Source organism: Homo sapiens, chromosome 1 (assembly GCF_000001405.40).
Source record: "Homo sapiens chromosome 1, GRCh38.p14 Primary Assembly".
In the NCBI taxonomy this organism is placed as follows: domain Eukaryota; kingdom Metazoa; phylum Chordata; class Mammalia; order Primates; family Hominidae; genus Homo; species Homo sapiens.
The window spans coordinates 172039909-172066817 of NC_000001.11; the positions used below are offsets into that span (position 1 = coordinate 172039909).

At 39.1% G+C, this 26909-nt stretch overlaps 1 protein-coding gene across 26 annotated transcripts in view, besides 1 other annotated feature; it reads left to right on the forward strand.

Annotated features, from left to right (window-relative positions):
• DNM3 (dynamin 3) overlaps positions 1-26909 on the forward strand; it is a 576969-nt gene that overhangs the window by 198411 nt on the left and 351649 nt on the right. For 25 of the 26 annotated variants that reach the window (NR_146559.2, XM_017000979.2, NM_001350206.2 and 22 more), the window contains exons 8-10: positions 2101-2236; positions 4477-4544; positions 8704-8842. Coding sequence is in view for 25 of the 26 variants with exons in the window: in XM_017000979.2 (XP_016856468.1) it covers positions 2101-2236; positions 4477-4544; positions 8704-8842 (343 nt within the window). In the remaining variant the exon portion in view is untranslated. Of the gene's footprint in view, positions 1-2100; positions 2237-4476; positions 4545-8703; positions 8843-15869; positions 15963-26909 lie in introns of those variants that run through there. The other variant, XM_017000992.2, reaches the window with a different exon arrangement.
• Positions 16205-16790: an enhancer, noted in NCBI's record as "NANOG-H3K27ac-H3K4me1 hESC enhancer chr1:172025253-172025838 (GRCh37/hg19 assembly coordinates)". NCBI's record gives its function as "activates a minimal SCP1, AML or CMV promoter by ChIP-STARR-seq in primed H9 embryonic stem cells {active_cell/tissue: H9 hESC(primed)}" and the evidence as "EXISTENCE:reporter gene assay evidence [ECO:0000049][PMID:30033119]".

Here is a 26909-nt window from a genome sequence, read left to right on the forward strand (position 1 = left end):
ACACAATTTAACACAATTAATTGTGTTAAAGCTAATAAATGCTATGTTTCTGTAAGTGTAAAATATTAAGGGAGCCCGGATGAGGAAGCAGTTACATGTGAGGAAGGATGTGAATTTGCAGAGAAAACAGAGGGCCTGTGGTAGGAGAGGACCTTGTCATGTGGAAGGAGGAGGGCAAGAGAATCATGAGAACTTTGGTAACATTTGTTCTCGGATTAGTAAATGGGCCAGGTGGCTGAGGTATAGGGTTTAAGGGAAGGAGCAGCTAGAAGTACACTTTCTGAAAAATTTTTCATGTTTCAGTGTGTATGTCATACCTCTCCAGGTGTTTTTAAAAAATAAAATTAGCATATACATGAACATAACTAAATCCAATTACAGTCTAGCTTCTTTGGCCTAAATAATTTGCAGCTACTTTTCATTCATCCATGATTTTGATGGAAGGGAATGAAAAGATACAAGTTTTAGATAGTTTGAATTTTTTCCCTTTTAGATTTTGAATTTGAAAGTAGTTCCAGTATGTTTAAATTGGAGTTTCTAAACCTGGTAATCACAAATGAAAATAGTTGGTTTTTTTTTTTCGTGTTTCTTTCTTTCTTTCTTTCAAGCAGCCAGTGTAAGGTAATTCATTCTTTCCTGGGACAAATATTTATTAAATCTCCCAATTATGTTGAGCAGGGAAAGGTAAAGAAAACACACATTCCTTGCCCTTAGGAGAGTGACTAATAGACATGGCAATGTTAATGTACTGTGCCAAATGCTCTGCAGGAAACACGCTGAAGATGCAGAGGAGGGGCGATGAGGAGTGGTGCCGGATAGAGTCATGGATCATGAAAAGTTTCTGGGAAGAACCAATGCTTGAGCTGAGTCTTAAAGAACACGTAAAAATTAGTCAGGCAAAGCAGCAAGGGACAGAGAGAATGGTGTTCTGAGCAGAAAGAAAAGTGTAAAAGCACAGGGACATGGTGCATTTGGGGAACTGCAATGGCTTCCTTATGGTTGGCTGGAAGGTGAGTTGGATGAGTGGTAAGAGATGGGGCTGAAGAGGCAGCCAAAGCCAGACCATAAAATGCTGGGAGATGGGCTAAAGAGTTTTGATTGTATTATCGAATTGTGGGGATCCATTGAAAAACAAGGCTAGAGCTAGTTTAGAGGGGTCACAAATCTATGTTATTCTGATAGGGTGAGGTCTGACTTTGACAAAGATAAACTCAAAAGCAGGATCATCATCTAGAGGAGCCTTCAGTGATGCTGGGAGGCATTGCTGAGAGCTGAACCAAGGCAGTGTCAGTAGGTGTGAGGAGGAAGAGCTCAACCAGCTGAGCTGTAATGGAGAAGAAATTACCTACAACTGGTGGCTCCCTGCAACTGTTGGGTGAGGGAAAGGGAGGTATGCTGGATGCCCCAGATTCCCTGCCTGGGGTGGGTGGTATCATCCACCATGAGGAGAGACTTGGGAATGCAGGAGGATCAGCAGGTTTGGGAGTGAAAGAAATTGAGAGGTTGTTTTAAGTGTGTTGAGTTCAAGGCAGCTAAGAGGAAATAAACATCCAGTACAGTTGAGCATATGGGCCACTCACTCTTCTGAGAGTTATAGGCTAAAGCGGAAGGTGTGGAGAAACTATTTCTCAATAGCCCTTGAAGCTATGGCAACCTTGAGATCACCTAGGGATGAATGTGAGGAGAGACTGAGGCTGTGACATTGGGGGAGTAATAGAGCTGGAGCATTTGGGACACTAGGTGGTTGTGATGTCATAGGAGTTCAGGTCCATTTGATTATTCTACATAAAGTTTAATTGATTAACTCTCTATTTCAAGTGTTCTTTAAATACCATTTTATGACTGCAATCAAATGAACAGAAGGCATTGAAAGACAACTATATTTAAATATTTATTCTAATTAAATGTCTAAAATCTTAATGATGTGTATTTTGTATAATCACACTGTGAGTACTACATAGAGTGCAATGTTAACTCTGCCAGTAGGTGCCACTAAGAGCACCTGGAAAAGGATTCTAAGGAATAATCATAGGAAAAGAAAATGAAGAGTGCAAAGGCTTGTAACTTTGACTTGAATCTATTTCTCTTTAACAATTACAGGATGGTTCAGCAATTTGCTGTGGACTTTGAGAAGAGAATTGAAGGGTCAGGGGATCAAGTAGATACCCTGGAACTCTCAGGTGGTGCTAAAATCAATCGTATTTTTCATGAACGCTTTCCTTTTGAGATAGTAAAGGTTTGTGTCAAACGTTATTTTTTTCTTAGTTTCACTTCACTTCCATATTCTGTTTTATACAACTTAATACAATATTGTGTGAGTGGTATAGAACTAACATAGTTCTTTGAACAAAACCTCCATATTCAGGTAATGAAATTCAGGAGAGGAATATGTTCTTACTGATGATTCTGATTTTATTTAATGAGATTTAACTACATTTCAAACACAAATACTAATTGAGTTTCCTAGTTTGTTGTCTAATTAATTTAAAAATATTTCTTAAGCATGTACTATGCACCACATTTCTAGGTGCCAGTGATTAAGACAGAGAAGACCCTTGCTTGTCTAGTGGGGAAAGACAGAAAATTAACAAATAGACAAAATACGAAAGTTTCAAATGTTTTTATGTAACATGATATGAGAGAGGGGATGGGTGAGCCACTTTTAATGGAATAATCAGGCAAATTCTGTCTGAGCAGGAGACATTTAAACTGTGCCCAGAATGGCATGAAGAGGTCAACTGGGTAAAGATCTGGGGGAAAGGGGTTGTTCAAGGCAGAAGTAGCAACCTCGGGTAAGGCACTAAAGTATGACAGGTGAAGAACAGATGTGGCTGATGAAGGAGAGGGGCATGAAGTGAATTCAGAGAGGGAGGAAGTGTCCAGTTCACACAAAGCTTTCTAGGTTGAGGTAAAGTCTTTATACTTAACAATGGGAAGTTACAGGAGGGTTTTAAGCAGTAATGTGACTTGATTTGTTGATGATTTTAGAAGAATAGTATGCCTGCTGGATTGTAAAGAGCCAAGAGAGTGAGGAGAACAGTAGGCCAGACCAGGGGTGGATTCATTTTCTGTGGAGTCTGAAGCTTCTACAATTTTACAGGCCCCCTTGAAGAAGAATACAAAATTATAAACACACAGGCCCAGGGTCTTGGAAGAGGCTTGTGCAAGGGGGAAATGCTGAGAATTAAACTTCTTTAGCTTTCCAGTAAAAGTGCCCCAGCAAGAAAGGATAGAGAGATGGGTGGCTTTGGGGTTTTGGAGATAAAGTTGCTAGGGCTTCGATTGAAATGGGGGAATGGAAGAAAGGGAAGTTTTGAGATGACTTCCAAGGTTTTGGCTTTCACAGCTGAGGGAGTGGTAGTGCCCATCAGATGAGGGAAATGGAGGAAAACCTCTGTTTGTATGGAGAAGTGAATTAGGAGTTCTGTTTTGGATGTGCTAAGCGTAAAATGCCCAATAGGCAGTTGAGTAGTTTTAGGGACCATGCTACTTGTCTCAAACAGAGAGGTGAGTGCTTATGTCTTCGTGTGGGAGGCAAATGGGTAAATAGATAATTTCATTAAAAATGTGCTAAGTAAAGTGATAAACTTCAGCAAAGGGTACTATGGAAACACAGCCCACAGACATGAATCCCAGCTCAAGTGTGTAAGGGAGCCAGGCTTCTGAGCTGAGTTTGGAAGGATGAGCAGCTAGTTAAGCAGGAAGAGGTAGGCTACAGGAGGGGGTGATCCAGACAGGAGAGGAATGAGCTATGAAGCCATCAGTTATGGGTAGAGACCTAGAACAATTCGTCATTCTAGGGCATAAGCTGTGAGGGGAGGAAATGGACAGACAATGAAGCCGGAGAGGCCAAATCTCAGAGGTCAGGGTTGAACTCAATGTTCTTGGGCTATCCCTTCGAGGTCTAAGCTCTGTGACACTTTGGTCCTACTTCCAAATAGATTTATGGTACCTAGCGCTTCTGAGAAATATTTGTAATCTATCCTGTGTTGTCTTTTTAAAATATTACTAATTTTCTTTTACAAAGAGGCCTTTAACTCAAATGATTTAAGTGGCCAGGGACAAAAGACAGCCATTGTTAATTTCAGGACATCTGTACTGCTACTGCACAGCAGGTGAAACTCTCATTTATGCATTCTTCTGTGCCCTCAAATTTACCATATTCAGCAAAAGAATGAAGAATTATACATTTCAAATGAATGGCTAGATTTATGTCCAGAAGGCATCCTTATGCATAGCACTCCATATCTATAACAGAGTTAAAATCCACTGCCCCCAAGCTCCCCAAAATCCCTAGTGTTCTGTGTTGCCTTGAAATTTATATAAACAGATGTTTTGACCATCTGGGTTTAGGTTAGGAAAGACATGAGTATCCACTTATTAATAATGAAGTCAAGTTATTCTCATTCTGTAATGTTCAACAATATTATTCAAAGGAATTAAGTGTCATAACTATGGCTCATTTTGCATCTGCAGATGGAGTTCAATGAGAAAGAATTGCGAAGAGAAATAAGCTATGCAATCAAAAACATACATGGTATCAGGCAAGTGATTCACATTTTTCTTGTCATCTGTTCAAGCTACCAAAAGAAAATTAATGTTTATAAATGGCTAGGAAACTCGTCTTTTCATCATTGAATAGGGTAGAATACAGAGGTGGGAGTAAGAAACAGGAAATCCTACTTTGGGGTTTAATGGTAACTTCCTGTATTGCTGTAGTCAGTTTTTTCCAAGTGAAAAAGCAAAAACATTTTCTGCATTTCCAGCCTGTACTCTGCACAATAGGGGATTCGCAGATTAGCAAGACCCCATTCTCCAGAGCCTTCATTTTTCATGAGGGAGGCCAGACATGCTCATAATTAATCATTACTTACACCAGAGAAGGGACAGATTAATTTTGACTAGTGTTGTGGAGCAAGATTGGGAAAGATTAATGGAGGTTGTTACTTTCAAGTTTATCCTTTCCTGTGGGGAGGATGGTTTCAACAGGCCAGGAGGTGTTGTGTGTGCATGTGTGCTTGCACATGTGGGAGCGTGCATATGAAGTGGGCAGCAGTGTGATGAGACAGGAGAGGATGGAAGGATGGAATGGAGGTTGTTGAGGATAAAAGAAAGGGCTTTCCGGTGGAAGGGGTGGGATGACCAAAGGCAAAGAGGTGAGCGGGCACAGTATATATCCATGGAGCCAAGAGTCATGCATATGCATTGGGACTGGCTTGAGGAATGCAGTCAGGAGAGCAGAGGGACCTGAGCTGGGTGGGGTTGGGGGTGGGGTAGAACTTGTGTCTGAATTTCCCCTTGTTTAAAGTGAGATTATTCTAAATTACCTTCCATCTTAGTCTGTTTGGACTGCTGTAACAAATGACTACAGACTGGGTGGCTTATAAACCACAGAAATTTATTTCTCACGGTTCTGGAGTTTGAAAATCCTAGGTCAGGGTGTGAGCATGGTCGGGTTCTGGTGAGATCCCTTTTCTGGCCTGCACAGTGCTGTCTTCTTATTCTGTCCTCATGTGGCAGAGAGAAAGCTAGTTAGCTCTCTGGCCTCTTCTTATAAGGGCACTAATCCCATTCATGAGGGTTCTGCCCTCATGATGTAATTACCTCCCAAAGGCCCTACCTCCTACTACCATCACATTGAAGGGTATGGTTTCAACATATGAAGTTTTAGGGGAACACATTCAGTTCACAACAATTTCTTTAAAGAACTATGATAAGAACAAATGATTTTAAAGCACATATTTATTCATTTCATGTACAGAAGGCTAAACATAACTTAATGAACATATGTTGAATTGCAGTGTCCTTAATTCAAGGAAATAAAACTTAGGTTGCCTAGTACATAGATTGCCTCATACGAAGGAGGTGGCCCCTGCCTGTTGTCATTTGTGGTTCAGCCTCTGCCAAAGGGCCAAGTTGAGACTGTGCTGGGAACAGGCCCTGAGAAGGCAAAGCTTGACACTGAGTTTGCATGTGATGGGTGATTTTACAAAGGAGTTATGATGCTTGAGTTATTTGTTGTTTTAAAATTTAGACAATCTGTTGGTGGGACTGTAAACTAGTTCAACCATTGTGAAAGTCAGTGTGGAGATTCCTCAGGGATCTAGAACTAGAAATACCATTTGACCCAGCCATCCCATTACTGAGTATATACCCAAAGGACTATAAATCACGCTGCTATAAAGACACATGCACACATATGTTTATTGCAGCACTATTCACAATAGCAAAGACTTGGAACCAACCCAAATGTCCAACAATGATAGACTGGATTAAGAAAATGTGGCACATATACACCATGGAATACTATGCAGCCATAAAAAATGATGAGTTCATGTCCTTTGTAGGGACATGGATGAAATTGGAAACCATCATTCTCAGTAAACTATCTCAAGGACAAAAAACCAAACACCACATGTTCTCACTCATAGATGGGAATTGAATAATGAGAACACATGGACACAGGAAGGGGAACATCACACTCTGGGGACTGTTGTTGGGTGGGAGTAGGGGGGAGGGATAGCATTAGGAGATATACCTAATGCTAAATGACGAGTTAATGGGTGCAGCACACCAGCATGGCACATGTATACATATGTAACTAACCTGCACATTGTGCACATGTACCCTAAAACTTAAAGTATAATAATAATAAAAAAAAGAAAGAAAAAAGAGAAAAAAAAATTTAGACAATCTGCTCCACAAATCTCAAATAGTATGGGCAGATACGAGTTTACAAAGTGAAGAGGAGAAAACATCTATAACCAAATCTAACGTTTTTTCTTTTACCATCGATAGGATTTCTAAGCTCCCTATTCTATTTCTTCTCCACCAAATCCAGAATACATTTGGTGTAGAAACTGTTTTGCTTTTTAGCTGGGCAGATTTGGTATTTGGACATGTTTATCTGATAAATGCAGTGGAACCAAATTACATTTTTTGGGGTCATACAGTATTTGAAATCAGCCAAATACAGTATTTTTACTTCACTTGTAAAACTCATTACCATATACAGCTTTTGTCAAATATAACTGCAAAATCTCAGTAATTCAGAATTGTCAATTTCTGATTTATATGCCTACCAACAGGGGATTGTTGGTGGTTATTATATGCCTGTAAGATGATAAGAAATGCACAATGTCCTGAGCATAAGACATACTCATGGTATGCTTATTTAGGCCTTTAAATATATATTTGGTTTGACAATTTTTTTTTCCCATTTGATTCCATTGGCTATTTGAATAGTAGAAGCCCTCTTTGCCCATGAAGGACTTGATGGAAGAGATGCTTTGTTTTTCTTCATTGTTTTGTTAACACTGAATGCTGACTATGAGCAAGGGAGGGAGACAGTCCTTATGGAGCAAATCAAGATAAATAGGGTAACAACTCTCCTTACTGTGTATCCTGCAATGTGAAATAGAATGCTGGGCTTCCAAGAAGGAAGGTCTCAGCAGCAAGACTGGAACTATAAGTGCTTGCTTTGCATCTGGGCTTTAAAGCACAGGTGGGATTTGAATAGGCCAAAATTGTTAACAGGGTAAAATGAACATCATAGACAAAGGCAAAGACATACAATATAAGCAAAGGCAAATTGACTGAAACATAGGGTACGTGAAAGGTGAGGAGAAAAATAACTGTGAAGAAAGATTAGAGTCAAACAGTGGAAAAATTTTAATATTGTACTAAACAGTTTGGATTTGATTCTGTACCTCGTTCAGAGAAATTACCATTATAATGTAGTATGATTACTACAGTTAGAAATAGAGGTGAGCATGGGGTGCTAAGCAAATGATAAGAAGGGGCGTCAAGTCAAGATAGTATAAGGGAAGTGTTGAAAAGATTTTCCAAAAGAGGTACCATAGAATTCAGTTGCAGGAAGAGAAGTTAACTAAATAAGAATAGGTGGGGAGGGGAGAGAAGAGGGCCTAGGAGTGGGGAGGACCCAGTGCCAAAGCCTGGAGCCTGCCAGCCTTCAGTCATGGCCAAGATTCAAAGTCCCCTGTTATTGTAGCTTCTCTCTACTGACCTTTTGTTTAAATTTGAGTAATCATTTTTCATTTTTTATGAATCACATATACACATGCACATGTATATATCTGCTTTCCTGAGCTCCTGTTCAGCATGAGAAAAGCATTATTATAACACCAGTTTGAATTAATTAGAGCCCAAAGGAAGACACTTGTTATTTTGGTTATCATTTGTTATTTTTATAAATTCATTATTTAGGCATCTTGAAATATTAAAATTAATTCATAACTCCCCTTACTGTCTTATACTCCCAGTACCCCAGGCCCTCAGATTGGGAACTATCTGTAATATAGTTGTCCTGGAATGGATAAATTGTATAATCTAGAAACTCTACTATTTTAGTGTATAAAAAGTGAAGCTCACTCGCTGCTCCACAAAGGGCAAGGAATTGATTTTGGAATCTTTCAGAAATAGGAATCTAAATTGAGAACACCATTTCTATTGTAGCATTTCTTTTTATTGCTGCGAAACAGCAAGTTAAGACAAATTACAGTTAAATATTAGTTAAAGGTCACATGATGTGCCACATAAACATTTTGGGCACTATGTAACTTTTAAACTTGGTCTATTACATGCTTAATTTAAATGGAATGTTAATTTAAACATTTTTCAAAAGATTTTTGAATATTACTCAATTAAAAAAATCTCATGGGCTGCTTGCTTTCTTACCTTCAGGACAGGGTTGTTTACTCCAGACATGGCATTTGAAGCGATAGTCAAGAAACAGATTGTAAAGTTGAAAGGGCCTTCCTTGAAGAGTGTGGATCTGGTAATACAAGAATTAATCAACACTGTGAAGAAGTGTACCAAAAAAGTAAGTTCGAATTATTTAACTTTCCAGTACGTGGCTTTGGTTTATCAACATTCCCTATCTCATTGCATGATTCTCTTTCCCTGACCCTCACTTTGTTATAGATGTTGTGTGTTTGCCTACAGGGAATGGTTGTGGAAAGTACTGAGTGGGAATTGCTTTCATGAAGGGCAGACATACTGTCTTCTATCATTCCTAATACGGTGGTTTAGAAAGAGTATATTTCTTTGGCTGATTTTCCCCATGTTGTCTTAAACAAATAAACATTATTTCCAAACTATTAGGCAAATGCCCTAAGCTCATTTTTCCTGTGGTGCATGGATGAGGGTAATTGTTAGAGAAGGAAATCACTGATAGTACATATATCAATAAGAAAATTCTTCTAAATTGCAAATATGTATTCCACTTGAGTCTGGCTGTTCTGGGAAGGGGCAGTGTAGTGTAGTGGATAAGAACCCAGCCTTGGGGTTTCAATGACCTAGATTGAAATCCTGGCTCTGATACTTTCTGTGTGACCTTGGGCTTAACCTCTCTAGTCTTGTTAATTTATCTGTGAAATGAGGATGATGATGATAATAGTAATACCACCTTAGTGAGGATTAAACAAGATGATGCCTGAAACCTATGGGACACCTAGCACACTGATTAACCATAATTTAAGTGCTCAATAAATGGTGGCTGATCCATAAATTGCCATTTTAGCAGCAGTCAGTATTCTCTACCCTGAATATCTATTAAATCTATGCTGTAGAGTGCTGGGGCAAGACTTCCCAAGTAGGAGGACTCCTCACTGAGGAATATGGAGAACATGTGCTGAATTCCTCGGTTCATGAAAAGAATATCTTGTATTGAAAAACACAAAAAGAGAATTAGTGATGGTATTTACAGTAGGGTAGGTCTAGCCCCCTGACAGTTAACACTTGTGCTTTTAATATTTCTTCAACCTATGGATAATTCTGTTTTTGTTAGTTTTGTTATCCTTCCCTTTATAGATGGTTACTAGCAGTTACCTTTCTGAAAAACCAGTGGGAAGAAAGAGAGAGAATGAGAGGGACAGAGAATGAGAATGAATATGAATATTAGTTCCCAGTTACCTGACAGAAAGGCTCAGGTAAAGAACAGATGTACATAGTAGAAGAGGCAAATGGGCTGAATTCCTAGATGTGAAGGCTAAAAGAAAAGCAGTAAATGGAACTAGCTTAGGACCCAGAGGTGACTGGGAGGTTCAGACCCCTTCTCTAGAGCTCCTACTGCTCTTCCACCTCATTTCCTAAACTCCTGGTTTCTCTTCTCCAAAACAAGAAAGAGCCACAGGAGTTAAGGGACTGAGGGACAGAAAGAAGAATGCCCATGGAGTTGAAAAAAATCAATCTTTCTACCATCTCACCAGTTGGAAACTTCAAGTCAGTTGCTAACACTCCTCATCCCTGCTGCCCTCACCTACTCTTCAGAATGCAACCTATCGTGTCCCTTGTACATTTAAAGCTCTCTTAATTGATCTCTCTACTGACTTTCAAGATTAACTGATACTGAGTTTCCTACTAACCCTAAGGATTGCCACTCTCAGCACACAGATGTGTTTAGCCAGAGGCTTCTCTTTAGGTTGTCCATGTCTCTTACTCCCACCAATTATCCTGTCTTCTTTACAAGGGACAGTTGTGCTGTGTCTGTTCCCAAACCCATTTAGCCAGTTGCACTTATTTTAATAATATACTTTAAATAAAGAGAGTAATTAAACTGACCCAATGCAGAAAAGACTTTGAGTTTTGTTTCTATGAAAACTAAACTGAATGCTATGAAAAGACTTGATAACTGTTAGCTACAAAAGCTCTGCTATTGACTAGGTGTAGGCAAGGTAATGAAAAGAATGTGTGTGTGTGAGGGATTATAAAAATCTGGATAGGTTTGGCATTCAAATTATTTCACAAGTATCTTCATGTTCTCCCTCCACTGTAAAGAAAGCAAAACTGGAAATCATAGATGAAGGATGTGGTTTATGTAAGACAGAAGATGCATAACTCCAATCAGCAGATCCATATGCAGAGAACAGATCTTGGCCTTACATCAAAAGATTGGCACATGTGTGGACATTTATGTTTTAAGTTATATAAAGTGTTTATGGTATGCATGAATCTTTTTTTTTTATCATTTCCCATTTTATCCAACCTACTGGAAAGCCAACAGTCAGTTCTGATGGCATGGGATGAGACAGCTTGTTCCCAGACACTTTTTGGCTTCTATTCTTGCTCTCTACCCTTTCCATTATGCTCCTTGGATTGGTCTTCTATACATTTTTACTATCTTCTCAAAACATTTTATAGTTTGCCTTAGTTAAACACAAAATCTAGCTTTTCCCCTGAGGTTACTATTTACCCTTTAGCTTTCTTCAGTGAAGGATATTTATTCCAGCCTAAACTGGAAAAATCTGAGGGCCTTTATTGGGTATGACATTTGCCATTTTTCCTTTTGTGGCTTCCAAAGATTATTCCTTCACCTTCTCATAGTCTTCCATTAAGGCCCAGGTGGTGCCAGCTGTACCTGTTCCTTATATTCACTGTCACCACCAAGTTCCAGGTCACTCCCTTGCATTCATCAGGATCTTTAGAACCTGGCTTACATTTTTCCTCTCCATACCCAATTCACCTTCAACGTGGAAGTGTTCAGTGTCCATGTAGATATCATGTCCAATGCCTAAAAGCTACTTTTCTTTGAAATCTTTGCTCTCCATTCAGTCCACTCTAGCATCATAGTTTCATGACTTCTGGCTCTTGTTGTCATCAAAAAATGTTTTACTAGGAAATTGTAAACCTTAAAGGGCCTGCAGAATGCTGATCACCCCCTTCATCCTCTTTAGATTTTAAGCCAATTGGGAAATTAATGGAAAAGCTCTATTTTGAAGGTTTGAAATTTAGTGTCCACTTCACTGCTGACAGATCTAGGTTGGAAAATGTGTCTGGGCCTTGCTGCTAAAGTGGGAGCCTCCTGTTATTTCCCCTTCCAGCATTAAACCTTAGAGCCCACAAGGTGTATGGGTGAGCAGATGTACATCCATCATTAGTTTTTTTATCTATTACTTCAGTTCCACTTGGATTAACTTTGCCACCTGTTGAAACTCCAGGACTGCTAAAATTTACTGCTTATCTTTATTTTCCTTTCCCCCAGGCTTCTGAAGAGCTTGGAGATAATTGTCTATTTGTGTGAACTGGTGCCCCAATATATTCATGGTCTTCTTCTTAGTCCAATTTCAACTGCTGCCCCATAGTGCTTCAGTGTCTTAGTAATTAGCAGCCTCCTGTGTTCTCCATGATAATGATGTTAAACTTTTAGCACTCTCTTCAAGCGACCTGACTCATCACTTTCATCCTCACTTTCAATGAAGGTTTCGCAGAAAAAATAGGGGCCATAAATGGGCACTATGAAACATTGATTCTTGCCTTCTATCCCTCAAACTTACCTGTATTCACAGCCACACCCCCTTCTTATCCTTGTCTCTGTTGAGATAGTATTCCTGATCAAGGGGGTGGGGGGTGGTTTCCTATCTGTACTCTCACCTCCTTAGAGGATGTACTCTTTTTAGCCTTTTATTTCCTGAATCATCATCTTCTCCATCACATTTTAAAAAATCAACATATAAATATATCTATGTCTGTCCTAATTTAAAAAGAAACAGTGACAAACACTCACCTGCTGCCCTATTTTTCTCCTCTCATGGTCAGCCTTCTTGGGAAAAAAGTAGTTTATGCTTTGCATCTTTACTGTGTCATCTCCAGTTAATTCCTCAACTGAAATTTGGATTCTACCCCACTACTCTATAGAGTTAATTATTGCAAAGATCAGTGAGAGTCCTGATTGCCAAGCCTAAAGGACGCTCTTATTCCTGAGACTATATTCCACTCTCTTTATAAAGCTGGCACTCCTCTCTCATGGGTTCTCTTCCCTCTTTCTCTTTATTCCTTCTCTACCTCCTTTGAGCATTCATCCATTTTTGCTTGCCTCTAAACACTGCGATCCCACAGAGCTTACTCCTGGTTTTATTCTCTTCTTACTATATTTTCTCCTTGACAGATCATGTCTGTAATAGTTCAACTACCACTTAAAATATTGGTGATTCCCAAATCTGTACCTCTAGCTCAAGCCTCTTTATGGAAACTGTCTACAGACTACTGCAACTATTCTCTTTTCTTACTTAAGGCCCTGAACATTACTTTTAAGCCTGAATTATTCCAGTGGCCCCCTAACTGATCTATTTCTAGCCTGGTCACCCTCAAATTCATCTTTGCCATTGCTGTCAAAGTGATTTTTCTAAAATACAGCTATGCCTTTTGCCTATATCCTCAAAATTATTCAACGACTCCTCAGAGCCTTGAAAATAAAGTTCAGATCATTTAGGGTTGTATTTAGGTTCCCTGTCTGATCTCTGAATACTTCTCCAGCTATATCTTTGGTCCCACTGCTTGCTTCAGCCATTCTAGATGATTTGCACTATCCTCAAAGATTTTTCCTTCTTTTGACATTTGCATAAGTGATTCCTTTTGTCTAGAATGTCTCACTTTCCCTCCTGTGTTTACCTGCCATCCCCTCTCATTTTTAGGGAGGCAGCTCAATCATCCTATTTTCCTTAAAATCTTCCTAAAGGGCCTCTGTGAGTCACTTCCTGGTCTCTCTCCCAACTCCCTTTTTAGTGCTTCTGTTGATACCCTATGTGTATTTATATCATAGCATTTATGATACTGCCTTGAGATTTATTTGTATGTATTTGTTTACATATCTCCTCTTGTTGATTGTAAGCTCCTTTGAAAAAAAAGGCGCTGTGTTTTTTATCTTCTCTCTAGCCTGTAACACAGTGACCAACTCCACATAGGGGCATTTTATAAATATTTACTAACAATTTAGATGTTCTAAAGTTATCCAGTGGTCAAAAATATATATACTTGGTTTTAAAATAGTATTTTAGCCATTCCTTTTAAAATGATAAAATTTAGGCAGGTTTTCTTTCAAACATCTATCCTTTTCCTTATGCTGCATTTTGATGTTTTTCATTTTTGGCCTTATTAGGTATACTTTCAATATCTTTTATTTAAAAACTGGTCTAATTAAAATATTTTGCAAAGCAAAATAATCCTAATTAGAGTTGAGTCTGCTGGGACTTTATTACTTGCCTCGTTTTGAACATGAGCCATAGATAAGGTGACTATATAATTTATTGTTCAGTGCAGGACATTTTTGAGACTTAAAGGGAGTGCTATGAATACTTTCACTGGAGTAATAGGAGTAAACAAAGACTGCCTCAGGCAATGTGAAAATAAGTAATTCCAGCTATATTGTAATTATATATATATTTCTGTTATAGCATATATACATATATAAACATAAAATACAGTTTTCATTTACAACTCCTCATGTGATGCCTCATGTGTAAAAACCTTAAATGCTTTTTTCTTAAGCTGCATAAATAAACACCAGTGAAAAACATATGTGATTTATGTGTGTTCAAACAACAAAACACAAAGCTAGACTCCTAACCTGGGGAAATGCATTTCTTCCCAGATACTTTCTCACTGTTGTCTCTGGGGCACTGGAGGATAAGACAGGAACATTAGAGCTTTATGAGCTATTTGGCTTCATGCCAGGGACATCTCAACTTTGAAATTATTTTGGTGGGCATCTCTTTTCAGCTGCTTTCCTTTACCTCCTCTTCACCAGTGCATCATCACAGGGTGCTGAAGGTCTTTTCAGAAAGCACTGAGAGGAACATCTTGATTTTTTTTTTAACCACAGTTTAGCAACTGTGCCATTTACTGGCCTCTTGGGAACCGACATTCTTGGATCATTATTATACTAATTAATTGATTTTTTTCTTGTTTAGAAAAAAAAAGTTTTGCAAGGAGAAAAAAAATACCTTAGTCAGCTATTAGAAATACAGGGAAAGGGCCAGGCGAGGTGGCTCATGCCTGTAATCCCATCACTTTGGGAGGCCGAGGCGGATGGATCACCTGAGATCAGGAGTTCGAGACCACCCTGGCCAACATGGTAAAACCCCATCTCTACTAAAAATACAAAACTTAGCCAATCATGGTGGGGGGTGCCTATAATCTCAGCTACTCAGGAGGCTGAGGCAGGAGAATTGCTGGAACCTGGGAAGCGGCGGTTGCAGTGAGCCGAGATTGCACTATTGCACTCCAGCCCAGGCAACAACAGCGAGACTCCATTTCCCCCCCGCCCCCCCAAATAAAGAAAAAGAAATACAGGGAAAGATTTTCCATTAAGAAGTGCTGTTAGAAGAAATGCCAAATTTTGTGGCTTATTAGGTAAGTAAATATCTAGCTCTGAATACACATAACTAAACAAGTGAATCCAAGTCCTTACCATGGCTTACAAGGCCCTAGACAATCTTGCCCCCTGCTTTTCATCTCTAAACTCATCTTCTCCCCTTTCTCTCCTCCTCTTGGTCCACTCCAGCTGCACTGGATTCCTTGTTTATTTAGCAGGCCAAGGAAACATGTCTGTAGAGCCTTTGCACTTCTCATTCTTAATGTGGGAAATGATCTGCCCCAAGATATCTGCATGGATCAAACCATTGCTTCTTTCAGGCCTCTGCTATTCAAATGCCCCATAAAGCAGAGTCTTTCTCCGACTTTTCTATTTTCAGTTGCATAGCCTTCCCACAAATACACACACACACACACACCACACATGCACACCATCGTTAATCTACTTACCAAACTTTTTCTTTGCAGTATATATTACTATTAATATATTAATTATATTATTTATGTCTGCTGTTGCTGTGTTATAAGATAATTAAGGGACCTTGAGAATACAAGTTCCATGAGAATAAGAACTTGGCTTATTAAGCTCATCGCTCTATTTTCCACCCCTAAAACAGCCTGGTTTTCAACAATGATTATTGAATGAATAATTTAAAAAATGAATTATGTCTCATTGATTCAGCAGGTGACGGTCAGTTTGGCTGAAGTAGGATGAAGGAAAATGGCTTCAAAGCATCATACTATTTAGGACTTTCTTTTAGGTTTATATAGATGTGCTATGGTTTTTACACTGTATGAAAATACTTGCATTTCGGGGAGGAGCCAAGATGGCCAAATAGGAACAGCTTCGGTCTACAGCTCCCAGCATGAGCGACGCAGAAGACTGGTGATTTCTGCATTTCCATCTGAGGTACCGGGTTCATCTCACTAGGGAGTGCCAGACAGTGGGCGCAGGTCAGTGGGTGCGTGCACCGTGCACGAGCCGAAGCAGGGTGAAGCATTGCCTCACTCCGGAAGTGCAAGGGGTCAGGGAGTTCCCTTTCCTAGTCAAAGAAAGGGGTGACGGACGGCACCTGGAAAATCGGGTCACTCCCACCTGAATACTGTGCTTTTCCGACAGGCTTAAAAAAGGGCACACCACGAGATTATATCCCGCACCTGGCTCAGAGGGTCCTACGCCCACGGAATCTCGCTGATTGCTAGCACAGCAGTCTGAGATCAAACTGCAAGGTGGCAGCGAGGCTGGGGGAGGGGCACCCGACATTGCCCAGGCTTGCTTAGGTAAACAAAGCAGCAGGGAAGCTCGAACTGGGTGGAGCCCACCACAGCTCAAGGAGGCCTGCCTGCCTCTGTAGGCTCCACCTCTGGGGGCAGGGCACAGACAAAGAAAAAGACAGCAGTAACCTCTGCAGACTTAAATGTCCCTGTCTGACAGCTTTGAAGAGAGCAGTGGTTCTTCCAGTACGCAGCTGGAGATCTGAGAACGGGCAGACTGCCTCCTCAAGTGGGTCCCTGACCCCTGACCCCCGAGCAGCCTAACTGGGAGGCACCCCCAAGCAGGGGCACACTGACACCTCACACGGCAGGGTACTCCAACAGACCTGCAGCTGAGGGTCCTGTCTGTTAGAAGGAAAACTAACAAACAGAAAGGACATCCACACCAAAAACCCATCTGTACATCACCATCATCAAAGACCAAAAGTAGATAAAACCACAAAGATGGGGAAAAAACAGAACAGAAAAACTGGAAACTCTAAAAAAGCAGAGTGCCTCTCCTCCTCCAAAGGAACACAGTTCCTCACCAGCAAAGGAACAAAGCTGGACGGAGAACGACTTTGACGAGCTGAGAGAAGAAGGCTTCAGATGATCAAATTACTCTGAGCTACGGGAGGACATTCAAACCAAAGGCAAAGAAGTTGAAAACTTTGAAAAAAATTTAGACGAATGTATAACTAGAATAACCAATACAGAGAAGTGCTTAAAGGAGCTGATGGAGCTGAAAACCAAGGCTCGAGAACTACGTGAAGAATTCAGAAGCCTCAGGAGCCGATGTGATCAACTGGAAGAAAGGGTATCAGCAATGGAAGATGAAGTGAATGAAATGAAGCGAGAAGGGAAGTTTAGAGAAAAAAGAATAAAAAGAAACGAGCAAAGCCTCCAAGAAATATGGGACTATGTGAAAAGACCAAATCTACATCTGACTGGTGTACCTGAAAGTGACGGGGAGAATGGAACCAAGTTGGAAAACACTCTGCAAGATATTATCCAGGAGAACTTCCCCAATCTAGCAAGGCAGGCCAACGCTCAGATTCAGGAAATACAGAGAATGCCACAAAGATACTCCTCGAGAAGAGCAACTCCAAGACACATAATTGTCAGATTCACCAAAGTTGAAATGAAGGAAAAAATGTTAAGGGCAGCCAGAGAGAAAGGTCGAGTTACCCTCAAAGGGAAGCCCATCAGACTAACAGCGGATCTCTCAGCAGAAACTCTACAAGCCAGAAGAGAGTGGGGGCCAATATTCAACATTCTTGAAGAAAATAATTTTCAACCCAGAATTTCATATCCAGCCAAACTAAGCTTCATAAATGAAGGAGAAATAAAATACTTTACAGACAAGCAAATGCTGAGAGATTTTGTCACCACCAGGCCTGCCCTAAAAGAGCTCCTGAAGGAAGCACTAAACATGGAAAGGAACAACCGGTACCAGCCGCTGCAAAATCATGCCAAAATGTAAAGACCATCAAGACTGGGAAGAAACTGCATCAACTAACGAGCAAAATAACCAGCTATCATCATAATGACAGGATCAAATTCACACATAAAAATATTAACTTTAAATGTAAATGGACTAAATGCTCCAATTAAAAGACACAGACTGGCAAGTTGGATAAAGAGTCAAGACCCATCAGTGTGCTGTATTCAGGAAACCCATCTCATGTGCAGAGACACACATAGGCTCAACATGAAAGGATGGAGGAAGATCTACCAAGCAAATGGAAAACAAAAAAAGGCAGGGGTTGCAATCCTAGTCTCTGATAAAACAGACTTTAAACCAACAAAGATCAAAAGAGACAAAGAAGGCCATTACATAATGGTAAAGGGATCAACTCAACAAGAAGAGCTAACTATCTTAAATATATATGCACCCAATACAGGAGCACCCAGATTCATAAAGCAAGTCCTGAGTGACCTGCAAGGAGACTTAGACTCCCACACGTTAATAATGGGAGACTTTAACACCCCACTGTCAACATTAGACAGATCAACGAGACAGAAACTCAACAAGGATACCCAGGAATTGAACTCAGCTCTGCACCAAGTGGACCTAATAGACATCTACAGAACTCTCCACCCCAAATCAACAGAATATACATTTTTTTCAGCACCACACCACACCTATTCCAAAATTGACCACATAGTTGGAAGTAAAGCTCTCCTCAGCAAATGTAAAAGAACAGAAATTATAACAAACTATCTCTCAGACCACAGTGCAATCAAATTAGAACTCAGGATTAAGAATCTCACTGAAAACCCCTCAACTACATGGAAACTGAACAACCTGCTCTTGAATGACTACTGGGTACATAACGAAATGAAGGCAGAAATAAAGATGTTCTTTGAAACCAAGGAGGACAAAGACACAACATACCAGAATCTCTGGGATGCATTTAAAGCAGTGTGTAGAGGGAAATTTATAGCACTAAATGCCCACAAGAGAAAGCAGGAAAGATCCAAAATTGACACCCTAACATCACAATTAAAAGAACTAGAAAAGCAAGAGCAAACACATTCAAAAGCTAGCAGAAGGCAAGAAATAACTAAAATCATAGCAGAACTGAAGGAAATAGAGACAAAAAAAACCCTTAAAAAATTAATGAATCCAGGAGCTGGTTTTTTGAAAGGATCAACAAAATTGATAGACTGCTAGCAAGACTAATAAAGGAGAAAAGAAAGAAGAATCAAATAGACGCAATAAAAAATGATAAAGGGGATATCACCACAGATCACACAGAAATAAAAACTACCATCAGAGAATACTACAAACACCTCTACGCAAATAAACTAGAAAATCTAGAAGAAATGGATAAATTCCTTGACACATACACTCTCCCAAGACTAAACCAGGAAGAAGTTGAATCTCTGAATAGACCAATAACAGGCTCTGAAATTGTGGCAATAATCAATAGCTTACCAACCAAAAAGAGTCCAGGACCAGATGGATTCACAGCCGAATTCTACCAGAGGTACAAGGAGGAACTGGTACCATTCCTTCTGAAACTATTCCAATCAATAGAAAAAGAGGGAATCCTCCCTAACTCATTTTATGAGGCCAGCATCATTCTGATACCAAAGCCTGGCAGAGACACAACCAAAAAAGAGAATTTTAGACCAATATCCTTGATGAACATTGATGCAAAAATCCTCAATAAAATACTGGCAAACTGAATCCAGCAGCACATCAAAAAGCTTATCCACCATGATCAAGTGGGCTTCATCCCTGGGATGCAAGGCTGGTTCAATATATGCAAATCAATAAATGTAATCCAGCATATAAACAGAACCAAAGACAAAAACCACATGATTATCTCAATAGATGCAGAAAAAGCCTTTGACAAAATTCAACAACCCTTCATGCTAAAAACTCTCAATAAATTAGGTATTGATGGGACGTATTTCAAAATAATAAGAGCTATCTATGACAAACCCACAGCCAATATCGTACTGAATGGGCAAAAACTGGAAGCATTCCCTTTGAAAACTGTCACAAGACAGGGATGCCCTCTCTCACCACTCCTATTCAACATAGTGTTGGAAGTTCTGGCCAGGGCAATTAGGCAGGAGAAGGAAATAAAGGGTATTCAGTTAGGAAAAGAGGAAGTCAAATTGTCCCTGTTTGCAGACGACATGATTGTATATCTAGAAAACCCCATTGTCTCAGCCCAAAATCTCCTTAAGCTGATAAGCAACTTCAGCAAAGTCTCAGGATACAAAATCAATGTACAGAAATCACAAGCATTCTTATATACCAACAATCGACAAACAGAGAGCTAAATCATGAGTGAACTCCCATTCACAATTGCTTCAAAGAGAATAAAATACCTAGGAATCCAACTTACAAGGGATGTGAAGGACCTCTTCAAGGAGAACTACAAACCACTGCTCAAGGAAATAAAAGAGGATACAAACAAATGGAAGGACATTCCATGCTCATGGGTAGGAAGAATCAATATCGTGAAAATGGCCATACTGCCCAAGGTAATTCACAGATTCAATGCCATCCCCATCAAGCTACCAATGCCTTTTTTCACAGAATTGGAAAAAACTACTTTAAAGTTCATATGGAACCAAAAAAGAGCCCGCATCACCAAGTCAATCCTAAGCCAAAAGAACAAAGCTGGAGGCATCACACTACCTGACTTCAAACTATACTACAAGGCTACAGTAACCAAAACAGCATGGTACTGGTACCAAAACAGAGATATAGATCAATGGAACAGAACAGAGCCCTCAGAAATAACGCCGCATATCTACAACTATCTGATCTTTGACAAACCTGAGAAAAACAAGCAATGGGGAAAGGATTCCCTATTTAATAAATGGTGCTGGGAAAATTGGCTAGCCATATGTAGAAAGCTGAAACTGGATCCCTTCCTTACACCTTATACAAAAATCAATTCAAGATGGATTAAAGACTTAAATGTTAGACCTAAAACCATAAAAACCCTAGAAGAAAACCTAGGCATTACCATTCAGGACATAGGCATGGGCAAGGACTTCATGTCTAAAACACCAAAAGCAATGGCAACAAAAGCCAAAATTGACAAATGGGATCTAATTAAACTAAAGAGCTTCTGCACAGCAAAAGAAACTACCATCAGAGTGAACAGGCAACCTACAAAATGGGAGAAAATTTTCGCAACCTACTCATCTGACAAAGGGCTGATATCCAGAATCTACAATGAACTCAAACAAATTTACAAGAAAAAAACAAACAACCCCATCAAAAAGTGGGCAAAGGACATGAACAGACACTTCTCAAAAGAAGACATTTATGCAGCCAAAAAACACATGAAAAAATGCTCATCATCACTGGCCATCAGAGAAATGCAAATCAAAACCACAATGAGATACCATCTCACACCAGTTAGAAGGGCAATCATTAAAAAGTCAGGAAACAACAGGTGCTGGAGAAGATGTGGAGAAATAGGAACACTTTTACACTGTTGGTGGGACTGTAAACTAGTTCAACCATTGTGGAAGTCAGTGTGGCGATTCCTCAGGGATCTAGAACTGGAGATACCATTTGACCCAGCCATCCCATTACTGGGTATGTACCCAAAGGACTATAAATCATGCTGCTATAAAGACATATGCACATGTATGTTTATTGCAGCACTATTCACAATAGCAAAGACTTGAAACCAACCCAAATGTCCAACAATGATAGACTGGATTAAGAAAATGTGGCATATATACACCATGGAATACTATGCAGCCATAAAAAATGATGAGTTCGTGTCCTTTGTAGGGACATGGATGAAATTGGAAATCATCATTCTCAGTAAACTATCTCAAGAACAAAAAACCAAACACTGCATATTCTCACTCATAGGTGGGAATTGAACAATGAGATCACATGGACACAGGAAGGGGAACATCACACCCTGGGGACTGTGGTGGGGTGGGGGGAGGGGGGAGGGATAGCATTGGGAGATATACCTAATGCTAGATGACAAGTTAGTGGGTGCAGCGCACCAGCATGGCACATGTATACATATGTAACTAACCTGCACAGTGTTCACATGTACCCTAAAACTTAAAGTATAATAATGAAAGAAAAAAATTAAAAAAAAAGAAAATACTTGCATTTCACCCCCTCTAATGGTTGCCATCCAGTCAAACTCTGTGCTGTGCTTTGCATGTAATACATGTCTAATGTAATAGGCTTTAGTGCCCAGGCTTCGAATCAGACTGGTTATTAAAGTCTGAAACTTTTGTTGGGTATTATAGGAAATTCAGGCCTGGGACTTGGTTTTAATGGGATAGAATCTCACCTTTTCATCTTACAACTCATTAAAGGATTTGCAATCTTTATAATTGGTTCTTAATTTATAATTTACCATGGTCCCTGATTTTCCTCCCACTTTCTGTTGTGAAGTTTTTTTCCATTTTAACTGCTCATTAATATGTCTACCAGAGATAAACTTGGGAAGAGAGAGATAAAAATCTGGTTATGATCTTCAGGTGTTGTTTTGCCACCATGTCAACCCACCCTGGATTCCTTTTTGGATGTTTTCTGAATTACTTAAGTAAGAGGCTCTTCTGACTACTCTGCGGCACCCAAGTTTTATTCACTCAAGGTTGGACTTTTTGTTTTTGTTTTTCTACTCTCCTTGTTTCTTAGGTGAGGACTTTTTTGTTTTTATTCCTTAGCATTTCATAAATAACACTAGAGTTCTCTTCATTTCTCTGTTTAAAAGTTTTTCCATCTTATACCTCACCACTTCTCCTGCTATTTGTTGAAAATATTTGAGGTTTCTGGATTAAGGATTTGCCCACCTGGAGAAGGTGGGCTAACACTAGCCCACTTGGTCCCAGTTCACCTAGTTGGGATCTGGCACTCCTTTTCCCTTCCTGCCAACTTCACTTTGACCTTCTTTGACTTCTCATATGCCACTCATATGCCAATGTAGAACACCCCATAAGGAACTTTCCCATTAACCCCTGTACAACTTAGAAAACAGTCACTATTTCTTGATCTCTTTATATTAGAATTGCTTCTTATCTTCAATCACCTTTGTAAATGTTTCTACAAATACATCTGTTTAAAAAATTTTTTTCATAGCAAATGTGTTGTGCGCAGATGACTGCCTTCTCATATCCTGAATAAATACAACACTATGCTATATAAAAACAAAGGATTGCTAGGGATTTTGTTGGGTTGGGTGGGTGGTTAATTCACAGAAAATGAAATTAAAAAATTGTATGCTTTTATGAGTGCTAAAATTCATTATTTCTATTTGGTTTGTAGCAAGCAGCCAGCATTTAAAGGTTTATAGCTTTTTCATAAAAGCCCTTATCTTTAGGTCAGCCAAATCAATCAAGTCAAGTGATATGTATAGAAGAAATTTTGTTCTGAATTTATTTTCTTAGACGGTTACCTAATAACTCCAGTCTTTGCTAGAGGCATCAAACTTGTTCCTCTTGATGATATGGAAATCTTGCCTGGTCTCTTGACCATTTTGAGAAAAATGTACTAGCATAGCGTAGATCTTATGGTCTGATAAACTGTTAATACATTTTGGAAGTGTATAATTTTTGTTTTGTTGGATAGAAATGTCTCCCAAGTGTTTTTTTTTTTCTCTAGGAAAATGTGATCCATACTGAAATTAAATTTTTATATTGAGGTTCCACCAAAATAATTAATCAGTACCCTAAATAACACTTACAACATTGGACCTTATTAAAACATGTTTTGCTGCTTTCTCTCAGAACATGTATAATTAAAATATTCTCCTTGAATTAAATATTGAAGGTTTTGATTCCTAAAGTCGTGTATATTATATTATTTCTCCATTGAATCTTCTTTATTATTTAAGAATACTCTACCCAGGCTGGACTGGTGGTGGGCGCCTATAGTTCCAACTACTCAGGAGGCTGAGACAGGAGCATTGCTTGAACCCAGGAGGTGGAGGTTGCAGTGAGCCAAGATGTACCACTGCACTCCAGCCTGGGCAACAGAGCGAGACTTTGTCAAAAAAAAAAAAAAAAAAAAGAATATTCAATGCAATTTGAACTATAAGCTATTTAGAACTAATTTGCTGTATAATAAATGTATAGCTTTGACTGCAAGTTTCACTATTATAATATAAGCATCAAATCCTCAGAGGACCTCTCACACCTGGTTTATGCATTTATTTCTTCATATTTCCCATTGGTTTTTAAAAAATATTTCTCTTGTATGACTATTTATCTGTATAGGCAACCTGCCACTCAAGACTATGTGGTTTCTAATATCAGGTGTTATGATATAAACTGAGCATGGAGCTGGACTGTAGCAGTTGCACCATGAATGACTGATGTGACATAAATTTAGGAATGTAATTATTATAACTAATAGCAAATCCTTCATCCCTTGACTCTCTATAAACCAATTTATAGGTTATTTAATTAATCATTAGAGGAATAAAGGCCTAAAGACATCTTCTAGATCAATATTATTTAGGCATACATACTTAATATTCTGATTACTTTGACAAATAAGAACTCCCATATTCTTACAACTGTAGGCTTTTAATTTGACATTCAAATTAAAAAAGTGCAAAAGTGATTGACAATTATAATGGTATAAATGATTGAGGAAATGGTGATTGCACATTAAATAAGAGACATAGAAGAGAGGTGAGGGATTGAATTGAGCAATCAAAGTTAAGTATGTTTTAAAGCTAAGTAAAGGGTGACACAAACTGAGCAGGGCACAGTTTGAATGAGATCATGAAATAATCTCATTATGAGATTAAATGAGATAATGAAATGAGTGGTAGAAAGCCTAATCAGAAATCAATTGAAATGTCAGTAGGACTTTATTTTTTAACCTCTGTATGTATGTATCTTAAGAATTGGGACTATTTATATGTTTGGGACTATTTATATATATTTATATATTTTATATTTGAAAGCCAGCAGTTAAAACCAAGATTTTGACTCTTATACTCCCACAATCAGTTCAATATCAACCAGCTAGTAACCAAACCAGTTGTTTCATTAATGCCATTCAGTGGTGGGCCTAGATCCTACATTGCTTAGTGTCTCTTCAAGGTTTTTCCTCCTTTGTCTCCATAATGGTAGTTCTTCTAGTGTGTTCTCTGTTTCTTTTGTTCCACTTAGAATTCAGGCTTATTGACTTCCAGTTGTCTCAATTGTAGGTACAAAATTGTGGCTCTTACAGATTCCTTTTCTGGTAGAATTAAGCCCATGGGCAGTAAGCTTGAAAAGATCAGGAGACACACACGTGCACACAAATCAATGCTCCTGCCAAGGCCAGTAGATTGGAGGCATTCTTAGATGTCTCTACTTCATGGGATATTCTTGTCATTTTGGCCTTTCCCTGACTTAATGATGGCCATATACTGGCCTGGGGTCCTTCAGCTATCAAGTGTTTAGTATCTGAATAAATATTTATATTGCCACTATTTGATGGTTTTAAAAATAACTTTCTGCTGTAATCTATTTGCTAAATGCTGTTAAAGCCATCTCACTCTTCCTTGGTAGACCTCAAATGCTTGCGTAGTTACTTCTCTGAGGCAATGTGATTCTATAATAGTGTGGCTGTCATTGAATAGCTTGGGAAGCTGTCTGAGTGCAGGCGGAATTGATTGTCTTGGTGACCTAGGGCAGGCTAATGTTTGGTGTCAGATACACCACTCAGGTTTGCACTAGTCAAGAAGGACTGGAATTGATCAGCTATCTCTTCCACTCTGAAGGCTTTTATAAGCCTCACAAAAAATAACTTGGAGGACTTTCAGAGAGTCAAGAGGGGTTCTGGTATAATAGAGCTTTTTCTGGAGAATGTTTCCAAAATGGGAAGTATGAGCTCCATTTGTATCTTGCGGTAATTCATGAAATAAGCCCCCAGGTGAGCGTGCATCTCAGGATTCAGATAAGAGGGTGAGAAATCGAGGACCTCATGGAGACGCTGGTGATGATTTTTGTGGTAACCAAAGCAGTCAGGTTTCTATGGTTTTATGATGTTATGAACATAATCTATATCCACTGTTGAAATATTTGGAAAATGTAGATAAATAAAAGTGTGCATAATTCAAAGAGTTATTGCTATTAACACTTTATAGTATCTGTGCAAATCTTTTTCTATGCACAGAGAGTAGACTTGCAGCAATGGAAGATTTAATGTATATGAGATCTCGTGATTATGATGGTTTCATGAAGTACTGCAGTTTGTTAACTTGCTAAGACACTAATATATGTTGTGCATGCTATAAAGGTAATGTGCACAGTGACCTCAGGTGACCATACAGAAGCCCCATTTCAGGGAGGCCTAGATCTAACTCCTTATGAGTTTGGAGAAATATTACATGCTATAATATTACTCAAGAATGTTGGTATTTGTAAGATTGGGCTATATCCTTGAAAAATGTCAAGGGTGTATGGTGGTGTGTGACTCTGTGTGTGTGTGCATGTGTGTGTGGATGTGTCTTAGTCCATTTTCTGTAGTTTATAACAAAATACCTGAAACTGGGTATACAGAAAAGGAATTTATTTCTTTATACAGAAAAGGAATTTATACAGAAAAGGTATTTATTTCTTACAGTTATGGAAGACCCAGTGTTGAGGGTCTGCCTCTGGTAAGGGCCTTCTTGCTGGTGCAGGGTATCAATCATATTGTAAGGGTGCTGAGTGTGGTAGCATGCTAGCTCAGGTCGCTAGTCCTCTTCTTATAAAGCTACCAGTCCCACTCCCATAACCTATTAATCCATTAGTCCATGAATGGATTAATCCACTCATGATGGCAGAGCCTTCATGGCCCAATCACCTCTTAAAAGCCCCACTTGTCAATATAGCCACATTGGGGATTGAATTTTAACATGAATTTGGAGGAAAGAAATATCCAAACCAAAACATTATGCTTGTGCATAACCACATTATATATTTAGTAGCCTAATTTTCTTCAAATAGTGTTGTAAATACTTTACCATGTCATTAGTTATTATTAAAACTGTTATTCAAAATGGCTACATTACATCACGTAAGTGGATCTACCTTCATTTATTTAACATCAT